The sequence below is a fragment of the Homo sapiens genome, chromosome 2 (genome assembly GCF_000001405.40).
Source record: "Homo sapiens chromosome 2, GRCh38.p14 Primary Assembly".
NCBI lineage: Eukaryota > Metazoa > Chordata > Mammalia > Primates > Hominidae > Homo > Homo sapiens.
The window spans coordinates 218,125,068-218,149,874 of record NC_000002.12 but is presented as its reverse complement, the minus strand read 5'-3'; the positions used below and the strand labels follow the sequence as shown (position 1 = coordinate 218,149,874).

The 24,807-nt window shown below is 46.4% G+C and overlaps 1 protein-coding gene across 9 annotated transcripts; it reads right to left on the bottom strand.

Moving 5' to 3' along the window:
• On the bottom strand, positions 12,624 to 24,581 carry CXCR2 (C-X-C motif chemokine receptor 2). Of its 9 annotated transcripts, none has more exons than NM_001168298.2 (4): positions 24,516 to 24,581; positions 23,522 to 23,584; positions 20,510 to 20,561; positions 12,624 to 15,098 (listed from the first exon to the last, which is right to left on the bottom strand). In NM_001168298.2, the coding sequence occupies exon 4, from the start codon at positions 15,071 to 15,073 to the stop codon at positions 13,991 to 13,993; it is 1,083 nt and encodes a 360-aa protein (NP_001161770.1). In that variant the 5' UTR covers positions 15,074 to 15,098; positions 20,510 to 20,561; positions 23,522 to 23,584; positions 24,516 to 24,581; the 3' UTR covers positions 12,624 to 13,990. The 9 variants fall into 9 exon arrangements, with proteins under 9 accessions (NP_001161770.1, XP_047300145.1, XP_047300143.1 ...); XM_047444189.1 differs by lacking the exon at positions 24,516 to 24,581 and adding an exon at positions 24,004 to 24,198; XM_047444187.1 differs by lacking the exon at positions 24,516 to 24,581 and adding an exon at positions 24,094 to 24,198.

Genomic DNA, 24,807 nt, shown 5'->3' with positions numbered 1-24,807 from the left:
TGTGCGATGTCATCACCTCTTGTAGCTTTAATCTGCCATCTCTGGGAGAATGATCTTTGAAAAAGTGTGTTGAGGCTCTGAAAAATGTTTTTCCTGGGCTCCAAAGCTAAGTGTCCCAATGCACAGTGACACATCTACTTGTACCCTCACCACAAGACCAGAATTGAAGCCAGCATCTTCCCCCCAAACCTGCCCCTTCAAGCCATTCATCCAAGCTGTGGGCTGAAGAATCCTTTTTGAATCCCTCAGTTTTTCTCACTGCCCCATTCTCCTTCCAGTTGCTAGCCAAGTCTGGACTTCCCTTAAAGATCTCTTGAACTCGCCCCCCATCTCCACCCCCATTGTTGTTACTTTGTCCAGGTCTTCACTACTTCTGCTCTAGCCTCCTAACAGGACTCCTGCCTTGAGCCTTTACCCCTTTCAGTGCATTCACACACAAGCTCAGGGGAGCGATGGGATTGCATTATGCATCTGCTGAAAGCTCTTCCAGGGCTCCCGTTGCCTGTGAGATAAAATGCAAACGTTTTAGCACAGCACTCAAAACCCTTTGTGGTTTGGCCTTGCCTTCTGGGCCAGGCGCATGTCTTATCTATTTCATCCCACATCTGGAATGGCCTTTGCTCTGGTCATTCTGGATTCCTTAGTTTTCCCTTGATGCCTCATGTCGTCTGCCTTTGACTGGGTTTCTTTTGTTGCAAGGGACAGAAACCTACTTTGAAAAGGCTGAAGCCAAGGGGGAATTTAGCAGAAGGATCAAAGGGTATCTGATGGTCCCCAAGGTCCTGAGATTCCAAGAGGGACCAGCACCAGGAGTAGGAAGGTGGTGACTTCGTCAGGCTCACTCTCTTTGGGGCCACTGATTCCTCACCTCTACTTCATTTAGCGGATCCATGTCACTCCTCTTTCTAAGCACACTATCTTTCCCTGCCCTTTTCTGCCCACAGACACTCCCTGAGTTTACATCACCCCAGATCACCTGAAAAGTCCAGGTAGCATCGCAGTCTCCCATTTCCAGGAAAGCAATTGTGATTGGCCCAGTTATGGTCAGGGAGGCAGCCTCATGGAGAACAAACACAGCTTGGAGAAAGAAGGCTTGGAGGACAGCCCCAGAAAAATCCCTAAACTCTCCACGTGAATCTTTAAGTATACTATTTCTTTTCATTGGATACCCTTCCCTGTGTCTTCATCTGGCTAAATTGTTTTTTTTTTTTTTAAATTGAGACAGAGTCTGACTCTGTTGCCCAGGCTAGAGTGCAATGGCATCATCTTAGCTGACTGCAACCTCTGCTTCCTGGGTTCAAGCGATTCTCCTGCATCAGCCACCCAAGTAGCTGGGACTACAGGTGTGCACCACCACGCCCAGCTAATTTTTGTGTTTTTAGTAGAGACTGGGTTTCACCATGTTGGCCAGGCTGGTCTCAAACTCCTGATCCCAAGGGATCCACCTGCCTTGGCTTCCCAAAGTGCTGGGATTACAGGGGTGAGCCACCTCACTGGGCCCATCTGGCTAAATCCTTAAGAGTTAGACCTTCCTGGAAGCCTCCTCTGGCTGAATTAGGAGCCCCCTCCATGTGTTCCTGTAAAACCATAGCAAACCTTGATTATAGCACATCATATTTGGGTCATATCCACTGATTTCTTGTCTGTCTCTCAGTAGACCATGAGATCCTTGGGGGTAGGCTCAGAACCTGTTCATCTCTTTTTCTCTAGAGTCAGGGGAAGAGCCAGGTCTAAAATAGGGACAGATTCAATTTTTTTTTTTTTTTTTTTTTTTGAGACAGTCTCGCTCTGTCAGCCAGGCTGGAGTACAGTGGTGCCATCTCAGCTCACTGCAACCTCCGCCTCCCGGGTTCAAGAAATTCTCCTGCCTCAGCCTCCTGAGTAGCTGGGATTACAGGTGTGTGCCACTACGTCCAGCTAATTTTTGTATTTTTAGTAGAAACAGGGTTTCACCATGTTGGTCAGGCTGGTCTCGAACTCCTGACCTTGTGATCCGCCCGCCTTGGCCTCCCAAAGTGCTGGGATTACAGGCATGAGCCACCGCGCCCGGCCGACAGATTCAATTTTTAAATGAAGGAGTGAAACAGCCCATTAGTTTTCATCCACCCTGGGCAGGATGCAGGGCATGTGTTAGAAAAAGAGAGAATACCACAGGTAGCTTGCTTACTGCATTGGCTGCCTGTTCCTCATAGCTCATCAGTCTCGGGAGTATCAGCCCTCAGGAAGCTACGTAACTTAGGATTCATTTTCCGCAATACTACAGGGTTATCTGTGGCTTTGTAGATTAAAATTGCCCAATCTGACTTATTAGGTGGTGTAAATAAATGAATGGCTGAAAGTAGAATAGGCCTGGTTTAGAACAGATTTGATTAACTTAATTAATTTTTTATTCAGACAGTCTTGTTCTGAGGCCCAGGCTGGAGTGCAGGGGTATGATTATGGCTCACTGCAGCCTCCACCTCCTGGGCTCAAGGGATCCTCCCATCTCAGACTCCTGAGTAGCTGGGATCACAGGTGTGCACCATCATGCCTGGCTAATTTTTACAAATTTTTTGTAGAGATGGGGTCTCCCTATGTTTCCCAGGCTGGTCTTGAACTCCTGGGCTCAAGTGATCCTCCTGCCTCAGCCTTCCAAAGTGCTGGGATTATAGGTGTGAGCCACTGTGCCTAGCTAGAACAGATTTAAAAATGTCACAAGCTTTAACTGGGTGCTGTGGCTCACGCCTGTAATCCCAGCACTTTGGGAGGCTGAGGTGGGCAGATCACCTGATGTCAGGAGTTTAAGACCAGCCTGGCCAACATGACAAAACCCCATCTCTACTAAAAATACAACAATTAGCCTGGTGTGGTGGCAGACATCTGTAATCCCAGCTACTCGAGAGGTTGAGGCAGGAGAATCGATTGAGCCTGGGAGGTGGAGGTTGCAATGAGCTGAGATTGCGCTACTACACTCCAGCCTGGTCGACATAGTGAGACTCTGTCTCAAAAAAAAAAAAAAGTCACTACCTTTATATGACAGGCTAGTTGATGATGGCTATGTGTATTTTGTATTAATACTATAGCTAGGATCTTGTTTGAACTTTATATCAAAATTTCTATTTACAAAATTTAGCCCAAATTATTTTATCTGTGAACTTGAAACAAAATTAAAGATTTAAATAAAGATCAATAGCTAACATTTATTAGAGCTTACCATGTTCTAGGCCCTGGGCTAAGTGCTTTATATATGTATTTCCTAACTAACCTAATCCTTAAAATTACCTTGTAGGGCTAGTTCTATAATAAGCCCATTTTATGCAGGAGGAAACTGAAGCACAAAAGTTTAGGTAACTAGAGTTGGGATGTGCATTTAGCATTCTGGCCCCAGGGCCTACACCCTTAACCACTCTGCTAGACTGCCTCAAGACACAGTTTGGTACCTTTCTTCCAATACTTATTCATTAATGGTTGTTATTTCAGTTATGTCTTGTTTCACCATACTTTAAAAGAGTTTTTCTTTTAACACTTCTTTCATGTTTATGTTTTTGGGTAAAAAAAAAGAAATATCTCTCTGTTTGAATACAAGGCATCTTGTCATTAAAAGCTCTTGCAAGAAGCTGTCATCATGCCAATGTTTACCACTAAACCAGATCCAAATGTTTACTTGACTTGCATGATGAACAGGAAAAAAATGAATAAGTGAAGGAGTAGCTTTAGGACTGTACTCTGTGTCTCTATTCCTGGGTCTTCTTTTTCTCTGAATCTTTATCTACAGGTACTGGAAGAAAAAGGCCATGGGAATAATCTTATGAGTCTTGCCACCAGTCCCATAAGAATCATTTTCTCAGTAACTTGAGAGTGGCATCCTGGTAGTGAGGAGGGTAATGAATGGGGAATCTGGAGACCAGTGTCCAGTGCTGCTTCTGTCACTTGTAGTTTGAGATCTCTTGCAAGTGTCCACCTACTCTGGGCCTCCAGTCATTCACCTGTCAAAAGTGGAGGTCAGTTCAGAAGTGGATCTTCGAGATTCCTTCCACCCAGACAGTGTGGATTTAGGTAAAGCAGTTCAAGGCCACCACTCACACAAGTGATGAGTGGAGAGTGGAGAGTATGATATGAATAACACACTTCTGTGTATATGTCCTAAACTGAATGAGTAGAATCTTTCCATAAACAGAGGGTTTCTGGGCACCCCTGACCATGGTCCCTGGGAACTACTATGATATTGAGACCCCTGAGCCTTGCAGAAGCTCCCTGTCTCCCCTGCTTATGGATTTTTGGCAATTGGGTTGGACTGTTGGGCAAGCATGGAATTAAGCATGGGGAAGCGAGGTATTCCAAGTGCCATAGACAGCTGTGCAGTCCAGTAGAGCAAATCCCTTAGCATGGTGCTGGACTTCTAAGAAAGTCCTCTAGAAATGCCCGCTGGGATCATAACTGTAGCAGAATAGAGAAAAAACACTGACCACCTCGTGGGAACCAGGACTTTAGCCCTGTCTCTGGGTCTGCCTGGCACAGAGCCAGTGTTGATGGGAAGCTGGCTCTTCTGTTTATGAGCAGGGAACATGTCTGACATCAGACCTAGCAAGGCCCTGTTGAGAAATCAGTGGTGTGTTTGTCTTCTCCCGGAAGGTGCTCCTTTGTTTATGTCTCTGAAGCTGTCCTTAGGGGAGGGCCCTTGAGTTGGGGCCATGATTTCTGCTCCTCTCTGTTTTCCCTCTGGACTCCCATAGCTGCTCCACCTAGGGAAGACAGAATGACCACAAGAGGCTCCAATGCAAGGCCATCTTCTTTTTGGCTAGGCCAAAATCATGGCTGGATGCTGAGACCAGCTCGGTCGGGGAGACCCTAACCCAGTGGCGCTAGAGGAATTAAAGACACACACAGAAATATAGAGGTGTGAAGTGGGAAATCAGGGGTCTCACAGCCTTCAGAGCTGAGAGCCCTGAACAGAGATTTACCCAGGTATTTATTAACAGCAAGCCAGTCATTAGCATTGTTTCTATAGATATTAGATTAATTAAAAGTATCCCTTATGGGAAAGGAAGGGATGGGCTGAAATAAAGGGGTGGGTCTGGCTAGTTATCTGCAGCAGGAACATGCCCTTAAGGCACAGATTGCTCATGCTATTGTTGTGGTTTAAGAATGCCTTTAAGCGGTTTTCTGCCCTGGGTGGTCCAGGTGTTCCTTGCCCTCATTCTGGTAAACCCACAACCTTCCAGTGTGGGCGTTATGGCCATCAAGAACATGTCACAGTGCTGCAGAGATTTTGTTTATGGCCAGTTTTGGGGCCAGTTTATGGCCAGATTTTGAGGGGCCTGTTCCCAACAGCCGGGTGTGGTGGGTCACGCCTGTAATCCCAGCACTTTGGGAGGCCAAAGAGGGAAGATCACCTGAGATCAGGAGTTCGAGACCAACCTGGCCAACATGGTGAAACCCTGTCTCTACTAAAAATACAAAAATTAGCTAGGCCTGGTGGCAGGCACCTGTAATCCCAGCTACTTGGGAGGCTGAGGCAGGAGAATCACTTGAACTTGGGAGGCAGAGGCTGCAGTGAGCCAAGATCATACCACCACATTCAGCCTGGGCAAGAGTGAGACTCCACCTCAAAAAAAAAAAAAAAAAAAAAAAGGATCACCCTCAGAAACAATTCTGATTCCAAGAGGGCATTTCTCATCTCCAGTTTGAGAGCTCTGCTGCTATTACTTCTGGGCTGGTAGGTTTTAAACTTGAGTCATGATCAGAGTCACTGGGGCTCCAGATTCCCAGGATCCACTCTCAGCCATACAGATTTGGTAGAAATGGAACCATTACTCTTAACTTGAAGCTTGGGTGGTGAGTTGGATATCATCTATGTTTTCCTCCAGATACACTCTCTACCTTTCTTTACTGAATTCTGTGCCCTGGGATGCTGACCTACATGGACTGTCTCAGGGCACTCCCTTGTCCTCTGGTTTCTGAGCTCAACCAATGGGAATCCTGGTGATATGGGAGTGGGGCAGGGAAGTGCTGGGTAGAGAAGGGTGGGGTCCCTGGTGAGGGCTCCACACTGGGCCTGTGTCCATGGACCTAAATGAGGAGAGCCATTCCTGTTGCATTTTCCAAGCCCACTCTGGCCCCCTACGTCCCCCATCCTGTGCCCATATAAACCCGAGAGACCTTAGCGGGTACACACACAAGTAGCAGGACATCAAGAGGAGCAGAACAACACACCAACAGACACCAGTGAACACCGGCAGGCCATTGACGGTGGGACAACATGGAATTCAGTTGGGGGTGGTAGGAGGAAAGTCTGGCTGCTGGGCAGCCTGACTCCAGGGGAAGACCACCTTCCCACTCCATCCTCCTTCTGGCTCCCCATCCACCTCTCTGAGAGCTACCTCCACCACTCAATAAAACCTTGCACCCATCCTCCAAGCCCATGTGTGATCTGATTTTTCTGGTACACTAGGGCAAGAACTTGGGTTACAGAAAGCCCTCTGTCCTTGTGATAAGGCAGAGGATCTAATTGAGCTGATTAACACAAGCCACCTGCAGATGGCAAAACTGAAAGAGCACAGTGTAACACATGCCCACTGGGGTTTTGGGAGCTGTAAACACTCAACCCTAGGTGCTGTCATGGTGTCGGAGCCCAAAAATGCTCCCCACGACCTGCCCACCTGCATGCTCCCCCTCAAGGTTTGAGTGGTGGGGCACTGAAGAAGCGAGACACACCCCTGTTGTATGCCTCATGAGGGGGATAAGGGAACTCCTCCTCTTTCACTGGTAGGAGATTGGGTTGAGCTCAACCCAGTATCAGGGGGATCCAAGTGGGAGACGGGACTGAGTTCAGCCAATGGGAACCCTGGTAAGAGAGGCTTCAGGAAACCTAAACAGGAGCAGTGTCAAGTCAGGGCATTTCTTTGCTCAGCCCTGTCCCTGCTGGTTGCTGGGGTTGACACCTGTCAGGCAGCCCACATCATACTGCTCTCTCTTGGGCTCCTGTCATGGTTCCTCACCTTGCTGCTTTAGGCCTAGGGATAGTGATTGCTCCCCACTGTCACAGTCCTTAGGGTACTGAATTTCACATTATTTTCCCCAAATCCTTCCCACACTGTTGTTCCAGGTCCCTTTATTCAACTCTTACTGAAGTGGATAAAACTCTCTCTCCTTGCCTAGCTCAAGTGCACTGCCTAGTTTCTGCCAGGAAACTGGGGATTATCCATAAATCTATATTTTGAAGAAGATGCCCATTTTATTATATTTTATTTTATTTTAAGACAGGGTCTTGCTCTGTTGTCCCAGCTGGAGTGCAGTGGCATGATCACAGCTCACTGCAGCCTCCACCTCCTGGGCTTAAATGATCCTCCCATCTCAGCCTCCTGAGTAGCTAGGACTAGATGTGTATGCCACCATGTCTGGCTAATTTTAAACATTTTTTGTAGAGATGGGGTCTCACTGATGCTCAGGGTGGTCTCGAACTCCTGAGCTCTAGCAATCCTCCTCCTGCCTTGGCCTCCCAAAGTGTAGGAATTACAGGCAGGAACCACCTGGACAAGAAGCCCATTTTAAGCATGGAACATTTTAGAAATGCTGTCCCATGGCCATCAGTGGTGCCTAGTTCTTTTTTGGTCAAATATCAACAAGTCTCTTTATTGCTTAACTCATTTGGGACTAAGAAGATGTTTTTCAAAAAGCAACTTCACCAGGAAATCAAGTAAAAAAAAGAATATGAATATTGTTCAAGAAAGAATATAAAACACAGAAATGGTCATGTCCACAAAGCCCAGCCCCCTTGTCTATAAGAAGGCCTGTGCAGACCCCTCCAAAATCAGCTTCAGCTCCTTCATTTTTGGAAAAATCCAGCCCCAACCAAATAAATGGAAACAATGCAAAATTGTACAAACCAGTGATGAATGCTACCCCATCCTCCAGCTCTCTCCAGCCATAACTCCTATTGACAGCTTGGTATATGTTCTCTCAGACATTTTTCTGAACATTTACAAACCCACATATAGACTAGAGTGTTTTTTACACAGGCAGGTAAGCCATTTACTACACATGCTGTTCTACCTTCCTTTTTCTTTTTTGTCGTTGCAATTTTAAACACTGTATTTGAGCAAACAGCAATTCATGAATCATCTGCCTTCCTTTTCCATTCAACATTATTTGTTGAAGATCTTTCCATGTCCAGTCATAGAACGACTTCATTATTTTTATATTATATTATATTTAATTTTTTTTTTTTTTTGAGACAGAGTCTCCCTCTGTTACCCGGGCTGGAGTGCAGTGACGTGATCTCAGCTCACTGCAACCTCCGCCTCCTGGGCTTAAGCGATTATTGTGTCTCAGCCTCCTGAGTAGCTGGAATTACAGGCACCTGCCACCATGCCCGGCGAATTTTTGTATTTTTAGTAGAGATGGGGTTTCACCTTGTTGGCCAGCCTGGTCTCAAACTCCTGAGCTCAAATGATCCACCTGCCTTGGTCTCTCAAAGTGCTGGGATTATAGACGTGAGCCGCTACGCCCAGCCCTACTTCATTATTTTTAAAGATTCTTTTAAAGAACAGTTTGCTGAGATATCACTAACCTATTATCAGATCAGTCTGTCCTAAGAATGCCATCCAGTGAATTTTAGTAAATTTACAGAGTTGTGCAACCATCACCATAATCCAGGTTTAGGATATTTCTATCACTCCAAAGGGAACCTTGGTGCCTGTTTGTAGTCAATCCCTTTTCCCACCCTCAACCCCAGGCAACTGCTCATCTGCTTTCTGTCTGTATAGATTTGTCTTTTCTGGACATTTTATGTAAATAGAATCATACTGATCAGCGGCTTCCACTTTGCATGTTTTATTTTTATTTTATTTATTTATTTTTTGATACGGAGTCTTGATCTGTTGCCCAGGCGGGAGTGCAATGGCACAATCTTGGCTCACTGTAACTTCCGCCTCTCTGGTTCAAGTGATTCTCTTGCCTCAGCCTCCCGAGTAGCTGGGATTACAGGTGTGCACCACCACGCCTGGCTGATTTTTGTATTTTTAGCAGAGACGGGGTTTCACCATGTTGGCCAGGCTGGTCTCAAACTCCTGACCTCAGGTGATCCACCCACCTCAGCTTCCCAAAGTGCTGGGATTACAGGCGTGAGCCCACACCTGGCCGTACTTTGCATGTTTTAAACATCATGTTCAAACCACTGCATTCACAGTATTCCACAGTGTGGCTGCACCTTCAAAGTGTTTCTAACCAATTCCCCACTGATGGATATTTAGGTTGTTTCTGAGCTTTGACTTTTATAAAAAATGCTGTGATGAATATCCTGTACACGTTTGTCCGCCTAGATGTGTATTTCTATAGGATAGATTTGTAGCAGTGTATAATTCCTGGATTGGAGATTGTATGCATTAAAGTATATATCACAAAATTGCCTTCTTGAAGGATCGTTCCTAATTCCTCTCCTACTGGCAGTGGATGATAATATCTTCTAGTCTGGTGAATTCTGATCCCCAAACTATACAACACAAAAGCTTGCAGTCCACTCCCTGTGGTGGTTCCTTGAAATGACCCAGGTTGTCCTTTTGTTCTGATCACTGTTTCTGTATTTTTTCCCTTCATTTTAATGATTAAAAACACTTTTCTTGTGAATAGCATACATAGCACAGATTACAGAAAACTAACATTTATAGCTTAAAAAATAATAATATAATGGCTCTTAAGCATCTATCACATAGGATAAGAGAGAGGACATTATCAGTGCCCCCTAAAGCCCCCATGTGTTCCTCCCTTTCCCGACCCTTTAATAAATATCACCTGAACCTTTGTGGGAACCGTTCTTTTTCTTTAGAGTTCGCACATAAGTTTGTGCAGAGGATTTGTATTGAGTCAGCATAGATAGGATAGAACTGTATTTCCCCAAATTCTCTTCCTTTCACATTTCCAGGTCAGTGAGGGGCCAGAAGGGACCTTGTATGTGAGATCTGGAAGGTGGAAGTGGAGCAGCATCTACATTCTGTTTCAGCTCAGGAAGGTCAGTGGAAGGCACCAGACACCACCATATGATGTCACTTATCTGCCGGCTCCTGTAGGCATGGGGCCTGAGCTGGCCTGCAGCCCCTCAGGTGTGGGTTTACCTGCTTGGTGCAGGTGCCAGCTTCTCCACAGGCCATTCACATACTGAACTTGGACCAACGCAGGTATCAGCCTGTCCTGGTAGGTTCCAGCTCCTCCTCACTATTCCCACTTTACATCCATCTTTCCTTCCAGGCTGTCCATCCTACCAGCTTAAGATCCCAGCCAAGAAACAAAGCCAACAGCCTGACACTAATGGTTTAGCCAGCTCCCACAGTTGCCTAGGGTCAAATGCCTGTCACAAATTCCTCCTCCCAGTGGTTTTGCTTCTTTAATTGGCCCCTGCCTGATAAGATATGTGTCCTCTGTAGAGGGGTTAGTTGTGCCTGTCTCTGAATTTTGTTTTGGGCTCTGATTGCGTCTTTATTTATTTATTTATGAGACGGAGTTTCACTCTTGTTGCCCATGCTGGAGTGCAATGGCATGATCTCGGCTCACTGCAACCTCCGCCTCCCAGGTTCAAGTGATTCTCCTGCCTCAGCCTTCCATGTAGCTGGGATTACAGGTGCCCACCACCACACCTAACTAATTTTTGTGTTTTTAATTAGAGACTGAGTTTCACCATGTTGGCCAGGTTGGTCTCAAACTCCTGACCTCAGGTGATCTGCTCTCCTTGGCCTCCCAAAGTGCTGGGATTACAGGTGTGACCAACTGTGCCTGGCCACGATTGTGTCTTTAACTGTGCTGCCTGCCAGCCAAGAATAGGAGAACCCAGCCTGAGGCTGCTCCCACACCTGTGCCCCTGAGCCTCCTCTGGGCCTCGCTGACTGAGACTCCAGCAACCCCAGCTCCAGGCACAGATGAGTGCAGGTGCAGAAAATGTAGACTGGTCTTACCCGTGTGAGTGAAATGGTCTGAAAAGGTCATGTCTACATGTAATTTTCCATCTTGTCTGTCAGGTGCTCGAACCGAAAAGCGAAATATTTGGTAAAAAACGAACTGACTAGGAATCTTATTTCAGCTCCACTACTGTCTAGCCATGAGATTTTGGCCAGGTTGCTTTGGTAAAGCCTCAGTTTCCTCGTTTATGTATGGAAATGGGGACTTCAGGCCTCTTTGACAGACCGAGAAGGCAGATCAGGCAGAAAGGTGCTGGACCCTGAGACCTTGGGACTCAGGATCAGAAACATCAGAGGGAAGAAAGAAGTCAACAACTCAAAGGCAATCCCCAGACTCGCCTGTCCTAGGGATGGCGTGTTTGGTAAATTATTTGTGCCAAGACTGTTCTTATGAGAGAGAGTCTGAAAGAGAGAGAGAGAGACAGAGAGAGAGAGAGAGAGAGAGAGAGAGAGAGAGGAGATAGAGATGAATAACAGAGTTCACGTAAGCATAATTTAATCTCTGCCTCATTTTCCTAGGCTGATGGTATCCTTTTATTATCCTTGGAGAACCATGTTTCCTCCAGTCCTTGTGAGAGGAAAGAGCAGAGTCCTGAAACCAGAGTGAGGTGTAATTTGGCCTCTTCCCTCTGGGAGTCATCTCAGGGAGCCACCTGGTCCATCAGCCTTGTCCAGGCAGAGCACCATTGGTTCCTCTGGCAAGTCAGGTCCTTGGTAAATACACGTTCCCCTGCATTTCCCTGCTACTGAATCAGAAGCTGTTCCGAAGACTCAGCCAGAGCAGTTGAGTCGTGCTTGGTCCCGAGTTTAGCAAGTACCCAGCATAGAATGAGCAGGAAAGAAGGGATTGTTGTTGCTGAATGCAATAGGAAAGGCACTTCTGTGGCTTTTGAGTGGAAGTTCTCTGCCCCTCAAGCCCTCCCACTCAGAGGTGTGCTCCTGCCTCCCTGTTTTCCCCTAGATTTAGTTGTTAACCTGAAGGGGGTTGTTTGGGAACTGCGGACGTTCAGTTCCTCTTGCCTCCTTCCTTCCTTCTCAGGCTGCTCAGACCCAGAGCCCCTCTTGACAAAGACCCTGCAGAGACAAGCCCTAGGAATGTGAGCTCCCCCAGGGCAAGGCACTGTCTGTCGTGGTCTCTGCTGTATCCCCCCACTCTCCGAACAGTCAGCACTCCATGCTGTTGGAGGCATGATTCGAATCTTTTGTTTTCTCCTAATGACAGATTATAAACCACTTCCCCATTCTGCATTTGGGCTGTCCTGTCAAACCTGGAATGATGGGTGTGTGTTTGGGTGGAAGAGAGGGAAGAGGATAGGGCACTCACAGTGGGTGCTGCTGGTTGAGCTGGGAGAGCTCTCTGCCTTCCTGCTACCTGATCAGGGGGATTTGGTAAACTTACTCAACCCTCTGCACCTTCTAACTCTAAGTCTCACCCCTGACACTCCTGACTACTGCCTCACCCAACGACACGAGACGCCCTAGAGCATCCCAGAATGCATTTCTTTCCATGATGTGTGGTCTACAGCAGGAAGCTTGGGTTGGGGGTGAGGGGATGGCAAGGCTGGGCTCCATCTCTATTCCATCCTTTTCTCTATGACACAGCAAATAACAAAGAGATTTACTTCTTGTAAAGACTCTCACCCAAGACCTCCACTCACCCTTGCCCCACCACTCTGTAGCAATTTGGAAGCAGTAATATAAACACCCAAGTAAAAATGGTTTATTAAAAAAAAGATATTGAATGAAATCATTTAACAAAAAATATAGGCAGGTGGTTCTAGCCTTGGTTTAATCAGCCTTGGTGATTAAAATACCTTTTGGGGCTCAGGTTTTTTTTTAAATTGATATAAAATATACATAACAAAATTGACCATTTAAACCATTTTTAAGTGTCAATTTAGTGGCATTAAGTCACATTGCGGTACAACTATCACTACTGTTTATCTGCAGAACTTTTTCAACATCCTAAACATAAACCCTGTGCCCATTAAACCGTCACTTCCCATGCTCCCCTCCCCTCAGTCCCTGGTAATCACTGTTCTGCTTTCTGTCTCTGTAAATTTGTTCACTCTCAGTACCTCATGTAGGTGGAATCATAAACTATTTATCTGTTGATGTCTGGCTTATTTCACTTAGCATAAAGTTTTCAAGGTTCGTCCGTGTTGTAACATGTATGAGTACTTCATTCCTCTTTCAGGCTGAAGGATACTTCGTTAGGTACATATCACATTTTGCTTAGCCATTCATTCATTCATTGATGAACATTTGGGTTGCTTCTGCCTTTTGGGTCTTGTGAATAAGCTGCTATGAATATTGGTGTACAAATATGGGTTCAAGTCCCTGCTTTCATTTCTTGTGGGTCAATTCCTATAAGTGGAATTGCAGGATCATGTGTTAATTCTATGTCTGAAGTTTTGAGGAAAGCTGCCATACTGTCTTCTGCAGTGGTCACACCATTTTACAATCCCCCCCAGCAACGCTCGAGAGTTCCAGTTTCTCCTCTACATCTTCATGGACTGAGACAGAGTCTCACTGTCGCTCAGGCTGGAGTGCAGGGGCACAATCTCGGCTCACTGCAACCTCTGCCTCCCGGGTTCAAGTGATTCTCCCATCTCAGCCTCCCAAGTAGCTGTGATTACAGGCACTCACCACCACGCCCGGCTAATTTTTTTTTTTTTTTGTATTTTTAGTAGAGACAGGGTTTCACCCCGTTGGCCAGCCTGATTTTCTTTCTTTTGATACTAGCCATCCTAATGAGTATGCAGAGCTGTCTCACTGGAGTGTAGATTTTCACTTCTTAGAACATAGAGTGCCATGGGCTCAGGGGCAGGATGGGCAGAGCTCCAGCAAATGACATAGTAATTATGGCAAGGGGTGAGGCACCAGGGCAAGCTTTCTAAACCATGCAAGGGAAACTAGTAAGAACGTGGCCTCCTCTACTTCCTGTGACCACAATGGGGGCTGCATTGACACTGAGACCAAGAAGAACCAGTGGACATGAGGCTTGGAATGTGACTGTGAAGAGAAGGGAGGAACCCCACGGGGCTGCACTTAGGCAGGAGGTCTTAGAGAGTAGTGGAAGTGTGCCCTGAAGAAGAGCCAACAAAGGAAGGCCTGCTGTCTTTGGGCAGGGAGTCCTTGCTGATCAAGCCATGTATAGCTAGAATCTTGAGGAGTCCATGGCGAAACTTCTGGCCAATGAAGGCGTAGATGAGGGGGTTGAGGCAGCTGTGAAGGATGCCCAGAATCTCGGTGGCATCCAGAGCCCGGTCGATGTGATTGCGGCGCTCACAGGTCTCCTGGATCACCTGGGTCCTCATGAGGGTGTCTGCCAGCAGGACCAGGTTGTAGGGCAGCCAGCAGAGCAGGAAGATGAGGACGACAGCAAAGATGACCCGCATGGCCCGGTGCTTCTGCCCCATGTGGGCCTTAAACAGCGTACGCAGGGTGAATCCGTAGCAGAACAGCATGATCAGCAGTGGCACGATGAAGCCAAAGGACTGGGGCAGGATCCGTAACAGCATCCGCCAGTTTGCTGTATTGTTGCCCATGTCCTCATAGCAGGCTGGGCTAACATTGGATGAGTAGACGGTCCTTCGGAAAAGTAAGACAGGCAGGGCCAGGAGCAAGGACAGACCCCAGATGCTGAGACATATGAATTTGACCAAGTAGCGCTTCTGGGTCAGTGTGCGTGTGGCATGGACAATGGCCAGGTAACGGTCCACACTGATGCAGGCCAGTAGCAGGATGCCACTATAGAAGTTGACTTCCTTCAGGAGTGAGACCACCTTGCACAGGAATGTGCCAAAAATCCAGCCATTCACCTTGGAGGCGGCCCAGATGGGCAAGGTCAGGGCAAAGAGTAGGTCGGCCAAGGCTAGGTTCAGCAGGTAGACATCAGTGACGGAGCGGCCGACCCTGCTGTATAAGATGACCAGCATCACGAGGGAGTTTCCCAGCAGGCTCAGCAGGAATACCAGGGCATAGATAATGACCACAAAATACTTGTTGATTTCCAGGGATTCTGGTTCACATGGGGCGGCATCTAGTAGAAAAGGGGGCAGGGTAGAGCTGTAACTGTAATTACTAAGATCTTCACCTTTCCAGAAATCTTCAAAGCTGTCACTCTCCATGTTAAAATCTTCCATTTTTGAGGTAAACTTAAATCCTGACCTATAGAAGAGAGATGAAGGTTACTGCATAATAAATTCCCCATATTCTTGCCCATCCACTCAAGAAACTGGGATAGGATTCTTTGTGTTGGCTTGAGTATTACAATGTAGTAATTTTTCCCTTCAAATTTGTAAGTGGTAGCTCTTAGGTTATGAGATAAATTTGGTGATAAATGGTACATTTTATGAGAGGACCATAGTTCTCTTTAATATAAGAGAGAAATTCTTAGCATTTCTTTTAGCATCGCCATCACCTAAAACTTTGTAGAAAGTTCTCTTTGGATAATCCCCACAGAACCCTCAATACTACCTGGATCCTTCAGTGGCGAGCATCTTTGGCTATCAAGGCTGGGTTTAATGTTCAGAAATGTGAGATGTGAGATGTCACTCAGTTCTTTTTTTTTTGTCTTAGAGATGGGGACTTGTTATGTTGCTCAGGATGGTCTTAAACTCCTGACCTTAAGTAATTCTCCTGCCTCTGTCTCCCAAAGTGCTGGGAATATAGGCATGAGCCACTGCACTCAGCCCCATTCAGTTTTTAATCAGGGGATTAAGCAGGAACTCCAAATGGGCTATACCCTCAGAAAAGATCATGGTTTGACTATAAAGCTGAGACATGAATCCCTTTGTTCAATTTTCTAAAAGTTATTTTAAAAGATGTATTCTGGAAAATGGTTTGAACAATTGTGGCATGGAGTTTTGGAAGGCTCGAGCTAGCAGAGTCTTCAGTTAATTAGTAAGGCCCAGCGTTTCTCTTTTGGGTAGAAGGAGACCCGCTTTGGGAATGTCTGTGTAGTTTGGAAAAGTATATTAAAAACAATAAGCAAGCGGGCTGCCTGATTCTCCCTGTGGGTGGAAACGTAACAGGTTATTTGGGGAGCTCTGGGCAGCCATGTGCCACCATGCGGGATAAGCAGACACAGCCAGTCTGCTACCCAATAAGAGAGGGGCAGCAGGAAGCAGAGAAGACAGGGTTTGCACTACCCTTGCTTGGTGGCTTTCCAGCCCTGCTGGAGACCCTTCCTGTCCTGCATGTGTGTGCCTCCATCTAGCCTTGACTCCCCTGTTCCTCTCAGATTTAGTCTAGCTCCTGGGGCTCTGCCCTTGCCACAGGGACAGCACAGATCCTGCTCTGGGGAAGCCTGGGTGTGGAGGGTGGGCTGCAGTTATTCAAAAATATTATCCCAGTGGTGGCTCACACCTGTAATCCCAGCACTTTGGGAGGCTGAGGTGGCAGATCACTTGAGGTCAGGAGTTTGAGAGCAGCCTGGCTAACATGGTGAAACACTGTCTCTACTAATAATACAAAAATTAGCCAGGTATGGTGACGTGCACCTGTAATCCCAGCTACTTGGGAGGCTGAGGCACAAGAATTGCTTGAACCCAGGAGGTGGAGGTTGCAGTGAGCCGAAATCACATCACTGCACTCCAGCCTGGGCAACAGAGCGAGACTCTGCCTCAAAAAAAAAAAAAAAAAAAAAAAAAAATCCCAGTTTCTCAAAGCAGTCAACTAAAGCAATCCAGCTCCCTAATTAGCTTCTTTCTGAACCACAAAATAGATCACCCTCCGGCCATTGCCTTAGAGTAAGGGATGACCACCCTACCACCAACCATGTCCAAGTCCGTAATCTACCCCCAAAATGGAACCCAGTGTGAGAGAAAAACCAGGAAGTTAAAGGTCCCAGAACCCACTTCACACTCACCAGGCTGGGCACACTCAGAAAAAGATGCCCAAGAACAATGTGGGTGAGGAAGTGGAAAAGTCAGAACTCTCCCACATTGCAGGTGGGAATGTAAGATGGTGCAGCTGCTTTGGAAAACAGCTTAGCAGTTGCTCAAAAAAGTTAAACATAGAGTTACCACATGAACCAGCAAACCCCAACCTAGGTATACACCCAAGAGAATTGAAAGCTAATGTTCATAGTAGCATTCATCATTAAGGCCAAAAAGTGGAAACAAACCAAATATCCATCAACTGATGAACGGACAGACAAATTGAGGAACAGTCATGAGCAACTGAAAGACTTTTTGGTCAATGACACATCACAAATACCACAGTGGTCCCATAAGATTATAATACTGTATTTTTAGTGTTCTTTTCCTATGTTTATATATAAGAATACCATTGTGTTATAATTACCTACAGTATTTAGTACAGTAACATGCTGAGTAGGTTTGTAGCCTAGGAGCAGTACTCTACCATATAGCCCATGTGTGTAGTAGGCTATAGCATCGTATACTCTACCATGTTCACATGACATATTTCTCAGAATGCATCCGCATTGTTAAGCAACTTATGACTGTATTATGTACAACAGAATATTATTCAGCCATGAGAAGGAATGAGGTACTGATACACAATACAACATGGATGAACCTTGAAAATGTTAGTCTAGGTGAAAAAAGGCAGACACAAAAGTTTTCTTATTGTGTGATTCCATATATGTGAAATGACCAAAATAGGCAAATGGGTAGAATTGGTAGAGACAGAAAGTAGATTGGTGGTTTCCAGGGTCAAGGGGAGCTGGGAGAGGAATGTTAATGACTACGGAGTTTTTCTTTTGAGTGATAAAAGTGTTCTGGAATTAGTGGCAATGGTTGTAGAATATGCTAAAAACTTTAAATGGGTGACTTTTGGGGTATGTGACTTATGTCTTAATTAAAAAAAAGATTAATCAAAGGGTACACGGCCTTGCAAAGCAAATACAAATATTACAAAAATAACAACAAAAGTCCCAGGGAGGATTTCTTTTTAGCAGAAAGGAAGTCTCTGTTGTCATCAATCATATGTAGCAAAGAAGAAAGCTGAAGAAGATTAAGCAAAACTGGAAAAATAATGCCACTTTTCCCCCAAGAGTGATGGAATTCTTAGCCATCACCTTCCTGACAAGTTTTTAGTTTCTCTTTTAAGAGTTAGGGGCCAGATACATTGCCTTCCCAGCATGCCGAGGCAACTGATGGAGAAGATTCAATCAGTTGTAATGTACTATACTAGATCACAACAATAAAAGTTAACATTTGGGCCGGGCGTGGTGGCTCCCAGCACTTTGGGAGGCCGAGATGGGCGGATCATGAGGTCAGGAGATCGAGACCATCCTGGCTAATGCAGTGAAACCCCGTCTCTACTAAAAATACAAAAAATTAGCTGGGCGTGGTGGCGGGCGCCTGTGGTCCCAGCTACTCGGGAGGCTGAGGCAGGAGAACGGTGTGAACCCGGGAAGCGAAGCTTGCAGTGAGCCGAGATGGCGCCACTGCACTCCAGCCTGGGCGACAGAGGAGACTCCGTCTCAAAAAAAAAAAAAAAAAAGTTAACATTGTACTTTATGTATGTCTTACGTAATTTATAAGCAATCCCTCATTTCTGGCCCTGCCTGGCCAGAAGGCTGGGGAGGTATTGAGAGGGCTGGGAATACAGCTTGCTGGACCAGTATGGTCAGCAAGACCTGAAAGAAGTCACCAGCTCCTCAGTCCCATGGTTGAGAGCAAGTTTGCTGAGAGGCCCAGGGTATGTCCAATGAAGTCAAGAGGTCAAGGGTGGATCACTTCTGGGAGCAGATGATTACAGATGCTCTTAAGGGAACAAATGACCCAACAGAAGACCCATCTTTGAGAGTAGATGTAGGGCATATTGGGTGCAGAGAGCTTGTGCTCTTAGAGAGCAGGGCCTTGTATGTATGAATATTGGCTGTGAGAAGCCAGGACTGAGGCTGCTGCAGAAACTGCCATGTCAGCACAGGCAGCAGTGGCAGAGCATGTTTCACAGGTAAATCCTCACTGTGGATAATCCAGTGCTCAGCTGTGCTGGGGGTGGGCTGGAGGTGTATGGGTGAGCTCATGCTCCCAGGCATTATGGGTCAGCTTCAGGTTCCAGAGGGAGAGCATGCAAGTCAGGACAGAAGGTAGAGAACTCAGCAAGGAGAACCAGGTCAGGCCAGTGACCTCCAGCTCCTAGGGTAGGGAGAGGGGTGTTTGTTGTTGGTGTTGTTTTTTAGTTTACCAATCTCTACAGAGGATGACTTGGCAGTTAGAGGGACAAACTAAGGGAAGGAGATGACACATCTGAGGTCTGCTTTGTGCCTCACAGGTACATGATCTCCATGGCTCATTACAAATAGATACAATTAGGCCCTGTTTCTAGAAGACTGAGGCACAAGGAGGATCAGCTGACCTAACAGGGAGGCTCAGTAACCAGCCTGCGATCACAGGGTGGAGAAGTGGTGAAACCACTGTTCCAGTGAGGTATAAAGGACTACACTTGCCTTATTTGTAGTCTATAGCCCTTCCTCTTAAAAAAAGTGCACCTCATCTATTAAACATATTTGTAAGCTAAGTTCTCTTTTTCTTTCTTTTTTTCTTTTTTTGATGCAGTCTCGCTCTGTTGCCAGGCTGGAGTGCAATGGCGTGATCTCGGCTCACTGCAACCTCCACCTCCCGGGTTCAAGTGATTCTCCTGCCTCAGCTTCCCAAGTAGCTGAGATTACAGGCGCCTGCCACTGCACCCGGCCAATTTTTGTATTTTAGTAGAGACGGGGTTTCACTATGTTGGTCGGGCTGGTCTCGAACTCCTGACCTCAGGTGATCCGCCCACCTTAGCCTCCCAAAGTGCTGAGATTACAGGTGTAAGCCACCGTGCCCAGCAAAGCTAAGTTCTTGAGATATCATTAAATCAACCTGTATATGGTCCACTCACATTCTTTCATGTTTTATGCATTGTTTTCTTTTGCCGTTTCTTTGGCCCAGAATGAAAGAAACAGCTCTTGCAGGGATGATAAACCAAACACCCTTGAACTGGCTGGGTCCGGCTGACCACACAGTCATATATTCCAGGATAAAAAGGGAGCTTCCTTGACTTAGGGAAAATGCCAGCCCCTTAGTGACTCATGGTAGTTTGGAAACTCCATAGATGATGGCATGAATTCTAATTTATTACATGAAAATGCTATAGAACGAGAGACATTTACAAGATCTCAAACATCTAAGGCAATCTTTTTAACAACAAAAGAGTCATTTTAGTACAGTTCCAGTATTCTTTCTCTCTATAAATATAATCCACAAATATTGCATTTAGTGTCGGGAAGTGGGAAGCGAACAGTGTTCGGCCCATCCTCAGACCCAGTCCTAGCCCAGGCCAGGAGGGCTGGCTGAGTCTTGGAAGGCTGCCAGGCCAAGGGAAAAGCATGGGCAGCAAGTGGCCCTGAGTGGTTGGAGAGGGTTGTGAGGGAGGAGGAACAGAAGTTCTTCCTTTGGGGATGGAGAGCCCCAAAGGGAGAAAATGAAGAGGCCAAGGGGTGAGGGTGAGGGGCCCACCAAGGGTGGGGAGAGATGCTTAGGATAAATGTAGGCTGGGTATCAAGGGAAACAGAGAACAGAGACATTCTAGCTGGTGGGAAGGGTGGGTGTTCCAAGACTTACTGGGTCGCTGGGCTTTTCACCTGTAGGACACCTCCAGAAGAGCAGCTGTGACCTATGAAAGGGAGGTGGTGGTGAGAACACAGTGGAGGAAGTGAGTGGTAGATTAGATTGCTCAATGCAATTCAGGGGTGGAGCTCCTGAGGGTGCGGGTGATTTTGATAACTTTGAATAATTAGTTCCCAGATCAGCTCTCGGATGCATAGTCATTTCATAGACTCGTAGAGTTTATATTGGGAAGGGACCTGAGGGGTTTTCTACCTAGTCTTTCCATTTTACAGATGGGGAAACTGAAGCCCAAAGGAAATGGCTTGCCCAGGATTGCATGGATTTCTTTCATCTTTGCTGTATCTCAGAGCCGCTGGCTCCTTCAGCTGCCTTGTCTGAGTCTCCTGGCATTCCAGCTGCCTCAGGCTTCCCCATCATACCATTGGCAGTACTATAGCCTTCAATGTCTTTCACATGTCAAAGGGAGCAGTGCATTAAAATGACAGAGATGGACTAAAGCTTCTGGTGAGTCTGGTGGCGTTCCTCCCTGGACCTGATGCCTCTACTTCTTGGCCCCACTCCTGCCTCTTGTCTTTCCCCTCACTCCCCAACCATCTGCTCTGACCACAAGTCCATCTCTGGGTATTGATATTCTTTCTTGTTTCGCACACTTGGCATTGGGTCTGAGGACACCAACTCTGCAGCAGCTTACCACCCTTGGAGCCAAGACCCTCTAATTTGGAAAGAAAGCCTTTTGGTAAAAGGGAAGATTCCACCAAAGTCCAAATGCATTTTTAAAAACAATGTTAAGTGACCCTAAGAATGTATTTTATCAATTTGCTATTGATTACAAATGAATGAATTAATCCAGGCAGAGCCATGAACACTAATTCTGCTGTCTCACAAGTGCCCACCCCAGTGAACAACACCTCAATCCCCTCCATTATTCCTTACCCTATCTCTTGCTCCATGCATCCCAGGGCCCAGAGGGGACTCAATCCCTGTGGCAGACGCACTTAAATTGCCTGCCTACCCCAAAGAAAGAATCTTTGAGTCCAACTGTTCAGCAAATGTTTCTTAGTCTTTGTCACCTCTCTTTCCCAAGCTGGGGAAGAATGCAATGCCACCTGGCCAGTTGATGCTAAAACCAGATAGAGGCTTATTACATATGGAGAGAGGCAGATGACACCAGGGCTAGCTGAGCAATTCTGGGCAAGTGACTTTTCCTTTCTGAGTCTCAGTTTACTCATCTGTAAAATGGGGCCAATACAGAATCCAACTCATGGGGTTGTGGTGAGGATGAAATGAGGGATTGCTTGTAAATCACGTAAAACATACATAAAGTACAATGTTAACCTTTATTGTTGTGATCATTATTACTGGAATAGTTTATTCACTGATAACATGCTGCCTCTCTCACTACATCCCCAGTCAAGGGAAAGCAGTCGGCAGTGGGTCTGCTTTCAAGGCTGACTTTGATGACATCTAATTTACTTTGACCTGGATATTAATTGTCATATTAGCTGTAATGTTGAGTGTCTACCAGGTTCTAGCTTCTGGGCAAAGTGCTTTCCAGAATTTGTATCAATTAATCCTCAGGATAACCTCACGAAGCAGGCACTTTCTGGAAGAGGAAATGAAGACTCTGAGAGGTTAAGCAACATACCTAGAGTGACACAGCTGAACTAGGTTTTCAGTTTAAAAAACTTCTAAAAATCTGCTCTCAAATCCTATCTCCTGTTCACTGTAATAAGGAGCAGGATCCCAGCCTAAAGTTTCTGAGCTCCATTAGGTACCTCCCTGTGTCCCAGAAAGTCAGATACAAAGGATGTAGAGAGGGGAGCCCAGATTTGACATTTCCCAGTCAGCCTCCTTCTTCATGCTCCTTAGGTCAATTTCATTTCCATGGAGATCACTGCGGTTATATGCAGGGTGGAGTGAATTAAAAAACTGGCTTCTGGTGCGGTGGCTCATGCCTGTAATCCCAGCACTTTGGGAGGCTGAGGTGAGTGGATCACTCGAGGCCAGGAGTTACAGAACAGCCTGGCCAACATGGTGAAACCCCGCCTCTATTAAAAATGCAAAAATTAGCCAGGCGTGGCAGCGCACGCCTGTAATCCCAGCTACTCCAGAGGCTGAGGCATAAGAATTGCTTGAACTCGGGAGGCAGAAGTTGCAGTGAGCCGAGATTGTGCCATTGCATTCCAGCCTGGGCGACAGAGCAAAACCCTGTCTCAAACAAAAACAAAACAAAAACCTGGCTTCTAATCCTGCTTGGAGAAGTCATTCTTTCTGGGCCTTGTTGTGTGCCTTTGGAAAACGGGAGCTTCTTCTAATTCTATTCTGTTCAGCATGCTAGCTACTAGCCATGTGTAGCTATTTAAATTAAAATTAATTAAAATAAAGGCCAGGCAAGGTGGCCCATGCCTGTAATCCCAGCACTTTGGGAGGCCGAGGTGGGCGGATCGCTTGAGCCCAGGAGTTTGAGATCAGCCTGGGCAACATGACGAAACCCTGTCTTTACAAAAACAAAAACAAAACAAACAAACAAACAAAACCCAAAAAATTAGCTGAGTGTAGCGGCACATGCCTGTAGCTGCAGCTACTTGGGAGGCTGAGGTGGGAGAATCACCTAGACCTGTAGGTTGAGGTTGCAATGAGCCAAGATCATGCCACAGCACTCCAGCCTGGGCATTGGAGTGAGAGCCTGTCTCAAAAAAGAAAAAATAAAATAAAATAAAATGAAATAAAAATTGAGATCCGCAGTCACACTAGTCACATTTCAAGTGCTCCGTGGCCACGTGTGACTAGTGGCTACCATACTGGGCAGGGCAGGTCTAGGACATTTCTATTATTGCAGAAAATTCTTTTGTGCAACACTGTCTAGGTGAAGACTTAGTTGTCTTTAGCTCTAAGCTTCTACACTTCATCACCCCAGTTCTCAGGGGCCTCAGAGGAGGCTGAAGTTTCCAGATCTCTTCCATTAGAAATATGTTGCCAGCATCTCAGACTGAACAAGTCACCTACCTGCTGTTATTGGAGTGGCCACCGATGTCTTCACTGTGCCTCAAGGTTGGGTGGTAGTCAGAGCTGTTAGACAGGAAAAAAAAGATGAAACAACCTTGACGATGAAACTTCTGACCTGGGTTGCAAGGGGGAAATCCAGGATGCCCTCCTGGGGAGGTATTCCCACAGAGGAACAATGAGGTCTGTCCTGGGACTTTGGCCCAGGACAGGTGCCACTTAGTGATTCTGGGATGAGTGCTGGGGATTTTCACATCTTCCTGTCTGATGGCTTCTGGAGGAGCCTACCAGTCTGAAGGTGGAGATTTGTCTATCCACCTTCTGTCTCTGAATGTTTTGAACCTGCACTTCCTTTTTTAACAAGGAAGATGCAGGCATCCCAGCCCCCGCCAACGGACTTGTCTGAACTCGCACGCAGTTTCTTCCTTCTTTCCGGGGTCAGAGTGAGAAGCGTCCCTCCTTCTGTTTCTGTTGAATCCCCGCACCTGACTGTGGGACCCACTGCCTCTCTGGTCCTTGAGGATCCTGCTTTCTCTCCCCTCTGTCCTGGCTCTTTCCCTTCTACCACATCTTACTTATGGCTTTATCATGCTCCCTCTGTCCTAGCACCCTTCAGCCACCACAGCTGCTCTCTCCACTTCCTCACCTCCCCTCTGCTGCTCAACAAAGACACTGCAACTGGCTTCCTTCCTACTGCTCCACTGAAATAACTTTCGCCAAGGTTCCCAATGACCTCTGGGTTACTAAACCCAGCAAATCCATTAAAAAAAAAAACAAAAACAAATTGCTTTCTTTCCCCCCAAGACAACAGATTGGAGGCAGCATTAGCATGCCTCTCCCATCTGGAAGGACAGAATAGCGTGTAGAGATTCACACTATAATTTTTTTTTCTCCAGGAACGAATGCAGGAACTGAACAGGAAAGCTGAAAGAATCCACAGAACTTTTGAAAGAAGTGGCAGGCTGCAGCCTACTCTGTGAGACAGGCAAAAACTCACCTCTAGGCAGAATAGCACTGTACCCAGGAAGGAGAAAACGGCTGCATATTCTCAGCTATCACCACTGCTTACAACACCCTGGCTAACCAGAAGTCCTGCGTCTGTCCACGTGATAAGTTCACTATAATTATAACCAGCATTTGAGAAAGTCAATACTCTAAGTCTATCTACAACCAAGGAATCTTGCAGAGTTTGCATCACTCCCCTCCCACTTCTGTCAGAGATGGTGCTGGTATTCACTGCTGGGAGTCTTGAAGACAGGTAACACCACTGGATCCCTTGCAGACATTCC

Excerpts from the sequence above, each read along its gene's own strand:
- CXCR2 (NM_001168298.2), bottom strand. The coding sequence starts at position 15,073 with ATGGAAGATTTTAACATGGAGAGTGACAGCTTTGAAGATTTCTGGAAA.